At 45.6% G+C, this 13,063-nt stretch overlaps 1 annotated feature.

Moving 5' to 3' along the window:
• Window positions 7,030–7,743: an enhancer, noted in NCBI's record as "H3K27ac-H3K4me1 hESC enhancer chr19:46774457-46775170 (GRCh37/hg19 assembly coordinates)". NCBI's record gives its function as "activates a minimal SCP1, AML or CMV promoter by ChIP-STARR-seq in primed H9 embryonic stem cells {active_cell/tissue: H9 hESC(primed)}" and the evidence as "EXISTENCE:reporter gene assay evidence [ECO:0000049][PMID:30033119]".

Raw genomic sequence — 13,063 nt, 5'->3', positions numbered from 1 at the left:
AAGGGGACATGGGGGAAATATGGCAATTTGCGTGATATTCAGTGATTTTTAGGGGGAAATGAATGGCCCTAATGCTCAGACAATGGTTAGTGTCAGGCCTCTGAGCCCAAGCTAAGCCATCATATCCCCTGTGACCTGCACGTACACATCCAGATGGCGGGTTCCTGCCTTAACTGATGACATTCCACCACAAAAGAAGTGAAAATGGCCTGTTTCTGCCTTAACTGATGACATTATCTTGGGAAATTCCTTCTCTTGGCTCATCCTGGCTCAAAAGCTCCCCTACTGAGCACCTTGTGACCCCCACCCCTGCCAGCCAGAGAACAACCTCCCCCTTTGACTGTAATTTTCCTTTACATACCCAAATCTTGTAAAACGGCCCCACCCCTATCTCCGTTCCCTGACTCTCTTTTCCGACTCAGCCCGCCTGCACCCAGGTGAAGTAAACAGCCCTGTTGCTCACACAAAGCCTGTTTGGTGGTCTCTTCACACGGACGCGAGTGAAATATTTTGGTGCCATGACTCCGATCGGGGGACCTCCCTTGGGAGATCAATCCCCTGTCCTCCTGCTCTTTGTCCCGCGAGAAAGATCCACCTATGACCTCAGGTCCTCAGACTGACCAGCCCAAGGAACATCTCATCAATTTTAAATCAGGTAAGCGGTCTCTTTTTACTCTCTTCTCCAACCCCTCTCACTATCCCTCAACCTCTTTCTCCTTTCAATCTTGGCTTCACACTTCAATCTCTCCCTTCTCTTAATTTCAGTTCCTTTCCTTTTCTGGTAGAGACAAAGGAGACGCGTTTTATCCGTGAACCCAAAACTCCGGCACCAGTCACAGACTCGGGAAGACAGTCTTCCCTTGGTGTTTAATTGTGTGGGGACGCCTGCCTGATTATTCACCCACATTTCAGAGGTGTCTGACCATGTGGGGATGCCTGCCTTGGTCCTTCACCCTTAGCAGCAAGTACCACTTTTTTGGGGGGCAAGAACCCCCCAACCCCTTCTCTCCATGTCTCTACCCCTTCTCCACTTTCCTGGGGGGTAATCACCCCCCACCCCTTCTGTGTCTCTACTCTCTCTTTTCTCTGGGCTTGCCTCCTTCACTATGGGCTACCTTCCACCCTCCATTCCTCCCTCTTCTCCCTGAGCCTGTGTTCTCAAAAACTTAAAACCTCTTCAACTCACACCTGACCTAAAACCTAAACCCCTTGTTTTCTTCTGCAACACCACTTGGCCCCAATACCAACTTGACAATGGCTCTAAATGGCCAGAAAACAGCACTTTCGATTTTTCCATCCTACAAGATCTAAATAATTCTTGCCGTAAAATGGGCAAACGGTCTGAGGTGCCTGATGTCCAGGCATTCTTTTACACATCGGTCCCTCCCTAGTCTCTGTTCCCAATGCAACTCGTCCTAAATCTTCCTTCTTTCCCTGCTGCCTGTCCCTCAGTCCCAACCCCAAGCATTGCTGAGTCTTTCCTCTTTCCAATCTTCCTTTTCTACAGACCCATCTGACCTCTCCCCTTCTCCCCAAGGCTGCTCCTCACCAGGCTGAGCTAGGTCCCAATTCTTCCTCAGCCTCTGCTCCCCTACCCTACAATCCTTTTATCACCTCCCCTCCTCACACCTGGTCCGGCTTACAGTTTTGTTCTGTGACTAGCCCTCCCCCACCTGCCCAGCAATTTCCTCTTAAAAAGGTGGCTGGAGCTAAAGGCATAGTCCAGGTTAATGTTCCTTTTTCTTTATCCCAAATTGGATAGCGTTTAGGCTCTTTTTCATGAAATATAAAAACCCAGCCCAGTTCATGGCTCGTTTGACAGCAACCCTGAGATGCTTTACAGCCCTAGACCCTAGAAGGTCAAGAGGCCGTCTTATTCTCAATATACATTTTATTACCCAGTCTGCTCCTGACATTAAATAAAACTCCAAAAATTAAATTCCGGCCCTCAAACCCCGCAACAGGACTTAATTAGCCTCGCCTTCAATGTGTACAATAATAAAGTATAGGCAGCTAAGTAACAATATATTTCTGAGTTGCAATTCCTTACCTCCACTGTGAGAGAAACCCCAGCCACATCTCCAGCACGCAAGAACTCCAAATGCCTGAACCGCAGCAGCCAGGGGTTCCTCCAGAACCTCCTCCCCCAGGAACTTGCTACAAGTGCTGGAAATTTGGCCACTGGGCAAAGGAATGCCCACAGCCTGGGATTCCTCCCAAGCTCTGTTCCATCTGTGTGGGACCCCACTGAAAATCGGACTGTTCAACTCACCTGGCAGCCACTTCCAGAGCCCCTAGAACTCTGGCCCAAGGATCTCTGACTGACTCCTTCCCAGATCTTCTCGGCTTAGCAGCTGAAGACTGACACTGCCCGATCATCTCAGAAGCCTCCTGGACCGTCACAGATGCTCTAGGTAACTCTCACAGTGCACCGTAAGTCCGTCCCCTTCTTAATCAATACAGAGGCCACCCACTCCACATTACCTTCTTTCCAAGGGCCTGTTTCCCTTGCTTCCATAACTGTTGTGGGTATTGACAGCCAGGCTTCTAAACCTCTTAAAACTCCCCAACTCTGGTGCCAACTTAGACGATACTCTTTAAAGCACTCCTTTTAGTTATCTCCACCTGCCCAGTTCCCTTATTAGGCCGAGACACTTTAACTAAATTATCTGCTTCCCTGACTATTCCTGGGCTACAGCCACACCTCATTGCTGCCCTTTTCCCCAGTTCAAAGCCTCCTTCACATCCTCCCCTTGTATCCCCCCACCTTAACCCACAAGTATAGGACACCTCTCCTCCCTCCTTAGCGACCCATCATGCACCCCTTACCATCCCATTAAAACCTAATCACCCTTACCCCACTTAATGCCAATATCCCATCCCACAGCACGCTTTGAAAGGATTAAAGCCTGTTATCACTCTCCTGCTACAGCATGGCCTTTTAAAGCCTATAAACTCCCCTTACAATTCCCCCATTTCACCTGTCCTAAAACCAGACAAGGCTTACAGGTTAGTTCAGGATCTGTGCTTTATCAACCAAATTGTTTTGCCTATCCACCCCATGGTGCCAAACCCATATACTCTCCTATCCTCAATACCTCCCTCCACAACCCATTATTCTGGATCTCAAACATGCTTTCTTTACTCTTCCTTTGCACCCTTCATCCCAGCCTCTCTTCGCTTTCACTTGGACTGACCCTGACACCCATCAGGCTCAGCAAATTACCTGGGCTGTACTGCCGCAAGGCTTCACAGACAGCCCCCATTACTTCAGTTAAGCCCAAATTTCTTCCTCATCTGTTACCTATCTTGGCATAATTCTCATAAAAACACCCATGCTCTCCCTGCCAATCGTGTCCGACTGATCTCTCAAACCCCAACACCTTCTACAAAACAACTCCTTTCCTTCCTAGGCATGGTTGGATACTTTTGACTTTAGATACCTGGTTTTGCCATCCTAACAAAACCATTATATAAACTCACAAAAGGAAACCTAGCTGACCCCATAGATCCTAAATCCTTTCCCCACTCCTCTTTCCGTTCCTTGAAGACAGCTTTAGAGACTGCTCCTACCCTAGCTCTCCCTGACTCATCCCAACCCTTTTCATTACACACAGCCGAAGTACAGGGCTGTGCAGTCGGAATTCTTACACGAGAATTGGGACCGCGTCCTGTACCCTTTTTATCCAAACAACTTGACCTTACTGTTTTGCCTAGCCCTCATGTCTGCATGTGGCGGCCACTGCCACCCTAATACTTTTAGAGACCCTCAAAATCACAAACTCTGCTCATCTCACTCTCTATGGTTCTCATAATTTCCAAAATCTATTTTCTTCCTCACACCTGACACATATACTTTCTGCTCCCCGGCTCCTTCAGCTGTACTCACTCTTTGTTGAGTCTCCCACAATTACCGTTGTTCCTGGCCCGGACTTCAATCCGGCCTCCCACATTATTCCTGATACCACACCTGACCCCCATGACTGCATCTCTCTGATCCACCTGACATTCACCCCATTTCCCCATATTTCTTCTTTCCTGTTCCTCACCCTGGTCACACTTGGTTTATTGATGGCAGTTCCACCAGGCCTAATCGCCACACACCGGCAAAGGCAGGCTATGCTATAGTACAAGCCACTAGCCTGCCTCTTAGAACCTCTCATTTCCTTTCCATCGTGGAAATCTATCCTCAAGGAAATCACTTCTCAGTGTTCCATCTGCTGTTCTACTACTCCTCAGGGATTATTCAGGCCCCCTCCCTTCCCTACACATCAAGCTTGAGGATTTGCCCCCACCCAGGACTGGCAAATTAGCTTTACTCAACATGCCCCGAGTCAGGAAACTAAAATACGTCTTGGTCTGGGTAGACACTTTCACTGGATGGGTAGATGCCTTTACCACAGGGTCTGAGAAGGCCACCACGGTCATTTCTTCCCTTCTGTCAGACATAATTCCTTGGTTTGGCCTTCCCACCTCTATACAGTCCTATAACAGACCGGCCTTTATTAGTCAAATCACCCAAGGAGTTTCTCAGGCTCTTAGTATTCAGTGAACTGATGGTCTTTTAAAAACACACCTCACCAAACTCAGTCACCAACTTAAAAAGGACTGGACAGTACTTTTATCACTTTCCCTTCTCAGAATTCGGGCCTGTCTTCGAAATGCTGCAGGTTACAGCCCATTTGAACTCCTGTATGGACAATCCTTTTTATTAGGCCCCAGTCTCATTCCAGACACCAGACCAACTTGGACTGCGCCCCAAAAAACTTGTCATCCTTACTATCTTCTGTCTAGTCAACTCCTACTCACCGTTCTCAACTACTCATAAATGCCCTGCTCTTGTTTACACTGCTGGTTTACACTGTTTCTCCAAACCATCGCAGCGGATATCTCCTGGTGCTATCCCCAAACTGCCACTCTTAACTCCCTCTTAAAGTAAACAAATAATCTTTGCTGGCAGGGCTATGCTGAACCTCCTTAGGCACTCTCTAATTGGATGTCCTAGGTCCTCCCAATTCTTAGTCCTTTAATACCTGTTTTTCTCCTTGTCTTATTCCGTTCTTTTTTCAATTCATACAAAACCGTACCCAGGCCATCACCAATAATTCTATATGACAAATGTTTCTTCTAACAACCCCACAATATCAACTGTTACCACAAAAATCTTCCTTCAGCTTAATCTCTCCCACTCTAGGTTCCCATGCCACCCCAATCCTGCTCAAAGCAGCCCTGAGAAACATCGCCCATTATCTCTCCATACCACCCCCCAAAATTTTCACTGCCCCAACACTTCAACCCTATTTCGTTTTATTTTTCTTATTAATATAAGAAGACAGAAATGTCATGCCTCTGAGCCCAAGCTAAGCCATCATATCCCCTGTGACCTGCACGTACACATCCAGATGGCCGGTTCCTGCCTTAACTGATGACATTCCACCACAAAAGAAATGAAAATGGCCTGTTCCTGCCTTAACTGATGACATTATCTTGTGAAACTCCTTCTCCTGGCTCATCCTGGCTCAAAAGCTCCCCTATTGAGCACCTTGTGACCCCCAACTCCTGCCAGCCAGAGAACAACCTCCCCCTTTGACTGTAATTTTCCTTTACATACCCAAATCTTATAAAACAGCCCCACTCCTATCTGCATTCGCTGACTCTCTTTTCAGACTCAGCCCGCCTGCACCCAGGTGAAATAAACAGCCTTGTTGCTCACACAAAGCCTGTTTGGTGGTGTCTTCACACGGATGCGAGTGAAAGTTAGTAAATAATTTTCTTTGCCAGTTGAATAAGATGGAGAGCAGACAGTGGTTTGGGATGCAGTTTGCCTGGCTTTCAGTTGTGGTGTTTTATTTTCAGCCTTTTTCTCTGTGATGTAAGTTTTTCTTTCTCTTTTTTTTTTTTTTGAGACAGAGTTTTGTTCTTGTTGCCAAAGCTGGAGTCCAATCTCCAGTGCGATCTCAGCTCACTGCAGCCTCCGCCTCCTGGGTTCAAGTGATTCTCCTGCCTCAGCCTCCCGAGTAGCTGGGACTACAGGCGCATGCCACCACGCCTGGCTAATTTTTGTATTTTTAGTAGACACGGGGTTTCACCATGTTGGCCAGGCTAGTCTTGAACTCCTGACCTCAGGCGATCCACCCACCTCGGCCTTCCAAAGTGTGGGATTACCAGCATGAGCCACCGCACCCGGCCTTGTGATGTGAATTTTAATCTTCTAGGGTTAAGGAAATTTCAGGGAAGGCAACTGTGTTACTCTTTGGCAGGTCCAGTTTCTTGATAGATGAGGGAACTTTCTTCTTCTCCCTCCCCTCCCCTCCCCTCTCCTTCTCTCTTTCTCTCTTTCTTTCTTTCCTTCTTTCTTTCTTTCTCTCTTCTTCCTCTTCCTCTTCTTTTTTTTTGAGACAGGGTCTTGCTCTGTCACCCAGGTTGGAGCTCAGTGGTGCAATCTTGGCTCTATGCAGCCTTGATCTCCCAGGCTCAAGCGATTCTCCAACCTCAGCCTCCCAAGTAGCTGAGACTACAGGTGTGTGCCACTACACCCAACTTATTTTGTTTGTTGTGGAGACAGGGTCTCGCTGTTTCCCAGGCTGGGCTGGTCCTCAACTCCCAGGCTCAAGCGATCCTCCCACCTCAGCCTCCCAAGCAGCTGGGACCACAGGCACACTTGACCACGCCTGGTTAACTTTTAACATTTTTTGTAGAGATAGGGTCTTCCTGTGTTGCCCAGGGTCGTCTCAAACCCTGGGACTCAAATGATCCTCTGGCCTTGGCCTTCCAAAGTGCTGAGATTACAGGCATGGGCCACTGCATGTGGCCTGGTTTATTTTCTTACTTTCCAGATATGTCAGTTTTGCTTGACAGAGAGAAGCTGAGGTGGGCAGAAAAATACTCAGACTATGATTCAGAGCTGAAAGAAAATCTTGGCAAACCTCAAAGGGTGCTTCACAACAAAGATTTTCCACTTGAGGAGTCCTGCGTTTGGAAGAAATGTCCAGGTCATTGGCCAGGAAGTGCACGATCTGGTCTCCCAGGCTATGACAGATCCTGAAGGCATTACAGCTAAAGTAAAGCTAACTATGCTCTGTGGCTGACCCGTGGGTGACATGGTTTGGCTCTGTCCCCTCACCCAAATCTCATCTTGAATTGTAATCTCCAGGTGAGGAGGGAGGGACCTGGTGGGAGGGGACTGGATCAAGGGGGCAGTTTCCCCCATGCTGTTCTCATGACAGTGAGTGAGTTCTGATGAGATCTGGTTGTTTCATCAGTGTCTGGGAGTTTCCCCTCCTCACTCTCTCCTGCCACCACGTAAGTAAGATGTGCCTTGCTTCCCACTTCATCTTTCGTCACGATTGTAAGTTTCCTGAGGCCTCCCAGCCATGCAGAACTGTCAGTCAATTAAAACCTCTTTCGTTTATAAATTACCCAGCCTCAGGTAGTATCTTTATAGCGTGTGAGAACAGACTCATACAGTGGGCTTCCTTTCTTTCTTTCTTTCTTTTTTTTTTTTTTTTTTGAGATGGAGTCCTGCTCTGTCCCCCAGGCTGGAGTGCAATGGTGCGATCTCAGCTCACTGCAACCTCTGCCTCCTGGGTTCAAGCGATTCTGTTGCCTCAGCCTCCCGAGTAGCTGGGACTACAGGCGCGTGACACCACACCCGGCTGATTTTTTGTATTTTTAGTAGAGAGGGGGTTTCACCATGTTGGCCAGGATGGTTTCGATCTCCTGACCTTGTGGTCTGACCACCTTGGCCTCCCAAAGTGCTGGGATAACAGGCAGGCGTGAGCCACTGCGCCCGGCCAGTGGGCTTCCTTTCTTACAGGAAGATCTGAGCAGCGTACATCCGTGGTTGCCCATCTCCGAACAGAACCAGTTTCCATTTGTTGCCAAAGCCCTGCAGAGATAAACTCCTCACACTGCCATACAGCACTTAGAAAATCTCTTTCTGTCTCTCTCCCTGAGCCATAGTTTTCTTACGAGACTGACATCTTAAGGTGATTTTGTGATTTAATTAACTAATCCATGGAAATACAGAACTTGAATAGTATTTATTCAATAAAAGAATGCTTTCATGTTATTGCTGTTGTCCTGGTGTAATACCTAACCTTGTTTTAATATGAATAGACTCTCCCTTAGCTGAGAAAACCGGACGGACTCCATTTGGCTCCTTCATTTGCAAGACATCCAGGACTCCTTACCGACCCCCTTCCTCAAGGAGTTAACTCGTGTAAGCTGACTCTCAGCATATCAGAGAGTCCAATTAACTGATAAGGTACTGTGGCAATCAATGTCCGTAGTTCCCAGGAATTCGCTCAGGAGATAGTGCCATAAAGCCCCCGTGTTTGTGTCCGGCAGAGCCCTCACGCCTATCACCTTATGATGAATTTAAAGCCCCTGCACCTGGAATACTTTGTTCTCCTGTAACCATTTGTCTTTTTAATTTTTTATCTGTTTTACTTCTGAAAGATTGTTACAGCTAGATTCCCCCCCTCCCCTCTCTAAACCAACGTATAAAAGAAAATCAAGCCCCTTCTTCGGGGCCGAGAGAATTTCGAGCGTTAGCCGTCTCTCGGTCGCCAGCTAATAAAGGATTCCTGAATTTGTCTCCAAGTGTAGCGTTTCTCTAACTCGCTTGGGTACAAAACTGGTAAATGTTTTCTTGTTGTTTTATCTTGTTGTTGTTGTTTTTGGAGACAGGATCTCTTTCTGCCACCCAGACTGCTGAGCAGTGGCGTGATCATGGCTCACTGAAACTTGGAACTCCCAGGCCCAAGCGATCCTCGCACCTCAGCCTCCCAAGTAGCTGGGACCACATGTGCATGCCATCATTCCTGGCTAATTTATTAAAAAAAAATTTTTTTTTAAAATAGAGATTGGGTCTCCCTCTGTTGCCCAGGCTGGTCCCCAACTCCTGAGCTCAAGTGATCCTCCTGTCTCATATCTAAGAGTCTTTTAATAAATCCTGACAGAAGATGGAAAGCTGAAGACTAATACTTATAAAAACAAGAAGGCCGGGCGCGTCGGCTTATGCCTGTAATCCCAGCACTTTGGGAGGCCGAGGTGGGCAGATCACTTGAGGTCAGGAGTTCGAGACCAGCCTGGGCAACATGGCGAAACCCTGTCTCTACTAAAAATATAAAAATTAGCTGGGTGTGGTGGTGTACTCCCAGCTATTCAGGAGGCTGAGGCAGGAGGATCTCTGGAACCTGGGAGATGGAAGTTGCAGTGAGCCATGATTGTGCCACTGCACTCCAGTCTGGGTTGACAGAGTGAGACTTAGTCTCAAAACAAAACAAAAAAATAAAATACAGTATTCTTAGATACGATACCAAAAACATGAACAACAAAAGAAAAAAATAGATAATTTGCATTTCGTCAGAATTAACACTTGTGCTTCAAGGGATACAGTCAAAAAAGTGAAAATAACACACAGAATGGGAAAACCTATTTGCAAATCATGTATCTCCTAAAGGACTTGTACCTAGAATATAGAAAAAAACTCCTGCACTTCAATAATAAGACTGATAAATCAACTAAAAATGGTCAAAGGATCTGAATTGACATTTCTTCAAGAAAGATATACAAATAGCCAATATGCAATGAAAATATACTTGACATCATTAGTCTCCAAGGAAATGCAAATCAAAACCACAATGAGATGCCTCTTCACACCCACAAGGCTGGCTAGAATTAAAAAGTGAGAATGATAACAAGTGTGATGAGGATGTAGATAAATTAGAGCCTTCTGGCCGGGCGTGGCGGCTCACGCCTGTAATCCCAGCACTTTGGAAGGCCGAGGCAGGCGGATCATGAGGTCAGGAGATCGAGACCACCCTGGCTAAACAGTGAAACCCTGTCTCTACTAAAAATACAAAAAAAAAATTAGCTGGGTGTGGTGGCACGCACCTGTAGTCCCAGCTACTTGGGAGGCTGAGGCAGGAGAATTGCTTGAACCCGGGATGTGGAGGTTGCAGTGAGCCAAGATTGTGCCACTGTACTCCAGCCTGGGTGACAAAGCGAGACTCCATCTCAATTAAAAAAAAAAAAATTAGAGCCTTCATACATTGCCTGCGGAATGCGAAACGTTTCAGCTACCACTTTGGAAAACAGTCTGGTGGTTTCTCAAACAATTAAGCATAGAGTTACCATATGACTAAAAATCACAGGGATTGGAAAGGAAGAAATAAAATTGTCCTTATTTGCAATGACATGATTGTCTACATAGAGAATCCCAAGGAATCTACCAAAAAACAAAAAATAAAACCAAAACCTCAAGACAGAAAAACCACAAAACCTCCTACAGCTAACAAGCAAGCTCACCATGGTTGAGATAGACAAGATAAACATACAAAATCAATTGCATTGGTATAGATCAGTGATAAACAGCTAAATTAAAGATAAAATCAATACCAAATACAACTGCTTAACAATGAAATATTTAGGTGTAAATCCAATATTATATGTACCAAGCGTGGGCAACATAGTGAGACCCTATCTCTATAAAAAAAAAATTTAGCCAGGTGTGGTGGCATGCACCTGTGGTCCCAGCTACTCAGGAGGCTCAGGTGGGAGAATTCCTTGAGTTTGGGAGGTGAAGGCTGTAATGAGCCATGATGGCACCACTGCCCTCCAGTCTGGGTTACAGAGTGAGACCCTGTCAAAAAAAAATGAAGAAAAAGAAAGGAAGGAAGGAAGGAAGAGAGAGAGAGAGAGAGAAAGAAAGAAAGAAAGAAAGAAAGAAAGAAAGAAAGAAAGAAAGAAAGAAAGAAGGAAAGGAAAGAAAAAATCAAAATGAAACAAAAAAAAAGTACCAGACTTGTATCCTGAAAAGTAAAAGCCTCTGATAAAATAAATCAAATACTCTCTAAAAGAATGAAAAGGTATAGTATGTACATGGACTAGAAAGCTTAGCATAGTAAACATGTCAATTTCCCCCTAAATAAATACACAGGTTGAACACAATTCCTTTTTTAGATATCGACTAGATTATCCTAAATTTTTTTATGGAATGGCAAAGCAACTAGAAAGTGTAAAACAATTTGAAAGAAGAAGAATTGGCTGGGTGCCATGGCTCATGCCTGTAATCCCAGCACTTTGGGAGGCGGAGGCTGGTGGATCACTTGAGGTCAGGAGTTTGAGACCAGCCTGACCAACATGGAGAATCCCCATCTCTACTAAAACTACAAAAATTAGCTGAGTGTGGTCATGCACGCTTGTAATCCCAGCTACTTGGGAGGCTGACACGGGAGGATTGCTTGAACTTGGGAGGCGGAGGTTGCTGTGAGCCGAGATCACACCACTGCACTCCAGCCTGGGTGACAGAGCGAGACCCTGTCTCAAATAAATAAATAAATAAATAAATAACCCAGAATAAAGTGACAAGAGTCAGTCTACCCAATTTAAAGACATCTAGCTGCAGTAATCAAGACTGTGTGGTATTACTGGCAGAGGAATAGAGAAAATAATAGAATAGGAACAGAATAGAGAACTCAGAAATAGACCCACACAAATATGTGCAACTTTTTTTCTTTTTGAGACAGGATTGCCCAGGCCGGAGGGCAGTGGAGTGATCATGACTTACTGCAGCCTCGAACTCCTGGCCTCAGGTGATCCTCCCATCTCAGCCTCCCAAAGTGTTGGGATTACAGGCGTGAGCCACTCTGCCTGGGCCCGGCTGATTTTTGACAAAAGCGCAAAGGGAAATCAATGGAGGGAAGAGAGCTTATTAACAAATGGTGCCGAGCAATTGGACATCCATAGGAATAACAAAACAAAACAAAACAAATCAACCTCTCTCCTCTCTCACACCTTATATAAAAACTAACTCAAAATGGATCACAGATTTAAATGTAAGACATAAAACTACAAAAATTTTAGAAACGAACATACAAGAACATCTTTAGGATCTAGGGCCAGGCAAACAGTTCTTAGATTTGACATCTGAAGCACAGTCCATAAAAAGAAAAATTGATAGTTTGGATGTTATGAAAAGGAAAAACTTTTGCTCTAAGAAAAACCCAGTTAGGCCAGGCGCAGTGGCTCACATCTGTAATCCCAGCACTTTGGGAGGCTGAGGTGGGCAGATCACAAGGTCAGGAGATCAAGACCATCCTCGCCAACGTGGTGAAACCCCTTCTCTACTAAAAATACAAAAATTAGCTGGGTGTGGTGGTGCACGCCTGTAGTTCCAGCTACTTGGGAGGCTGAGGCAGGAGAATTGCTTGAACCCTGGAGGTGGAGGTTGCAGTGGGTCGAGATCACGCCACTGCAGTCCAGCCTGGGCAACAGAGCTAGACTCCGTCTCAAAAAAACCCCCCAAAAAACAAAAAACAAAAAACAAACCCAGTTAGAAGGACAGATAGGGCTATAGTCTGGGAGAAAATATTTGCAAAGCACATACCTGACAAAGGACAATTATCTAGAAAATGTAAAGAACTGTGAAAACTCAATAGTGAAAAAAAAATCCATTAAAAAAATGGGCAAAAGACCTGAAGAGGATCTGGCATGGTGGCTCATACCTGTCATCTCAGCAGTTTGTGGAACCAAGGTGGGAGGATTGCTTGAGCCCAGGAGTTCGAGACCAGCCTGGGCAACATAGTGAGACCTTGTCTCTATGAAAAAATCAAATGAAAATAAAAACTTTTTAAAGACATGAAGAGACATCTCAATGAGGAAGAGATACAGATGACATGTAAGCAGATAAAAAGATGTTCAACATCATTAGCCATTAGGGAAACGCAAATTAAATTAAAATGGCTAAAAATTTTGAAAACCGCAACGCCATTGAAAGCTGGCAAGGGTGGAGATAAATTGGATCATTTATACATTGCTCTGAAAAACAGTTTGGCAGTTTCTTAAAAAAAAAAAACTCAACATCCAGGTTGGGCGCAATGGCTCATGCCTATAATCCCAGCATTTTGAGAGGCTGAGGTGGGAGGATTGCTTGAGCCTGGAGTTGGAGACTAGCTTGCACAACATAGTGAGACCCCCATCTCTATGAAAAAGAAAAGAAAAGAAAAAAATTAGGCAGGCGCGGGGGTGCGGGCCTATAGTTCTAGCTACTTGGGGG

The sequence above is a fragment of the Homo sapiens genome, chromosome 19 (genome assembly GCF_000001405.40).
Source record: "Homo sapiens chromosome 19, GRCh38.p14 Primary Assembly".
Lineage (NCBI taxonomy): Eukaryota > Metazoa > Chordata > Mammalia > Primates > Hominidae > Homo > Homo sapiens.
This window is presented reverse-complemented; position numbering and strand designations above follow the sequence as displayed.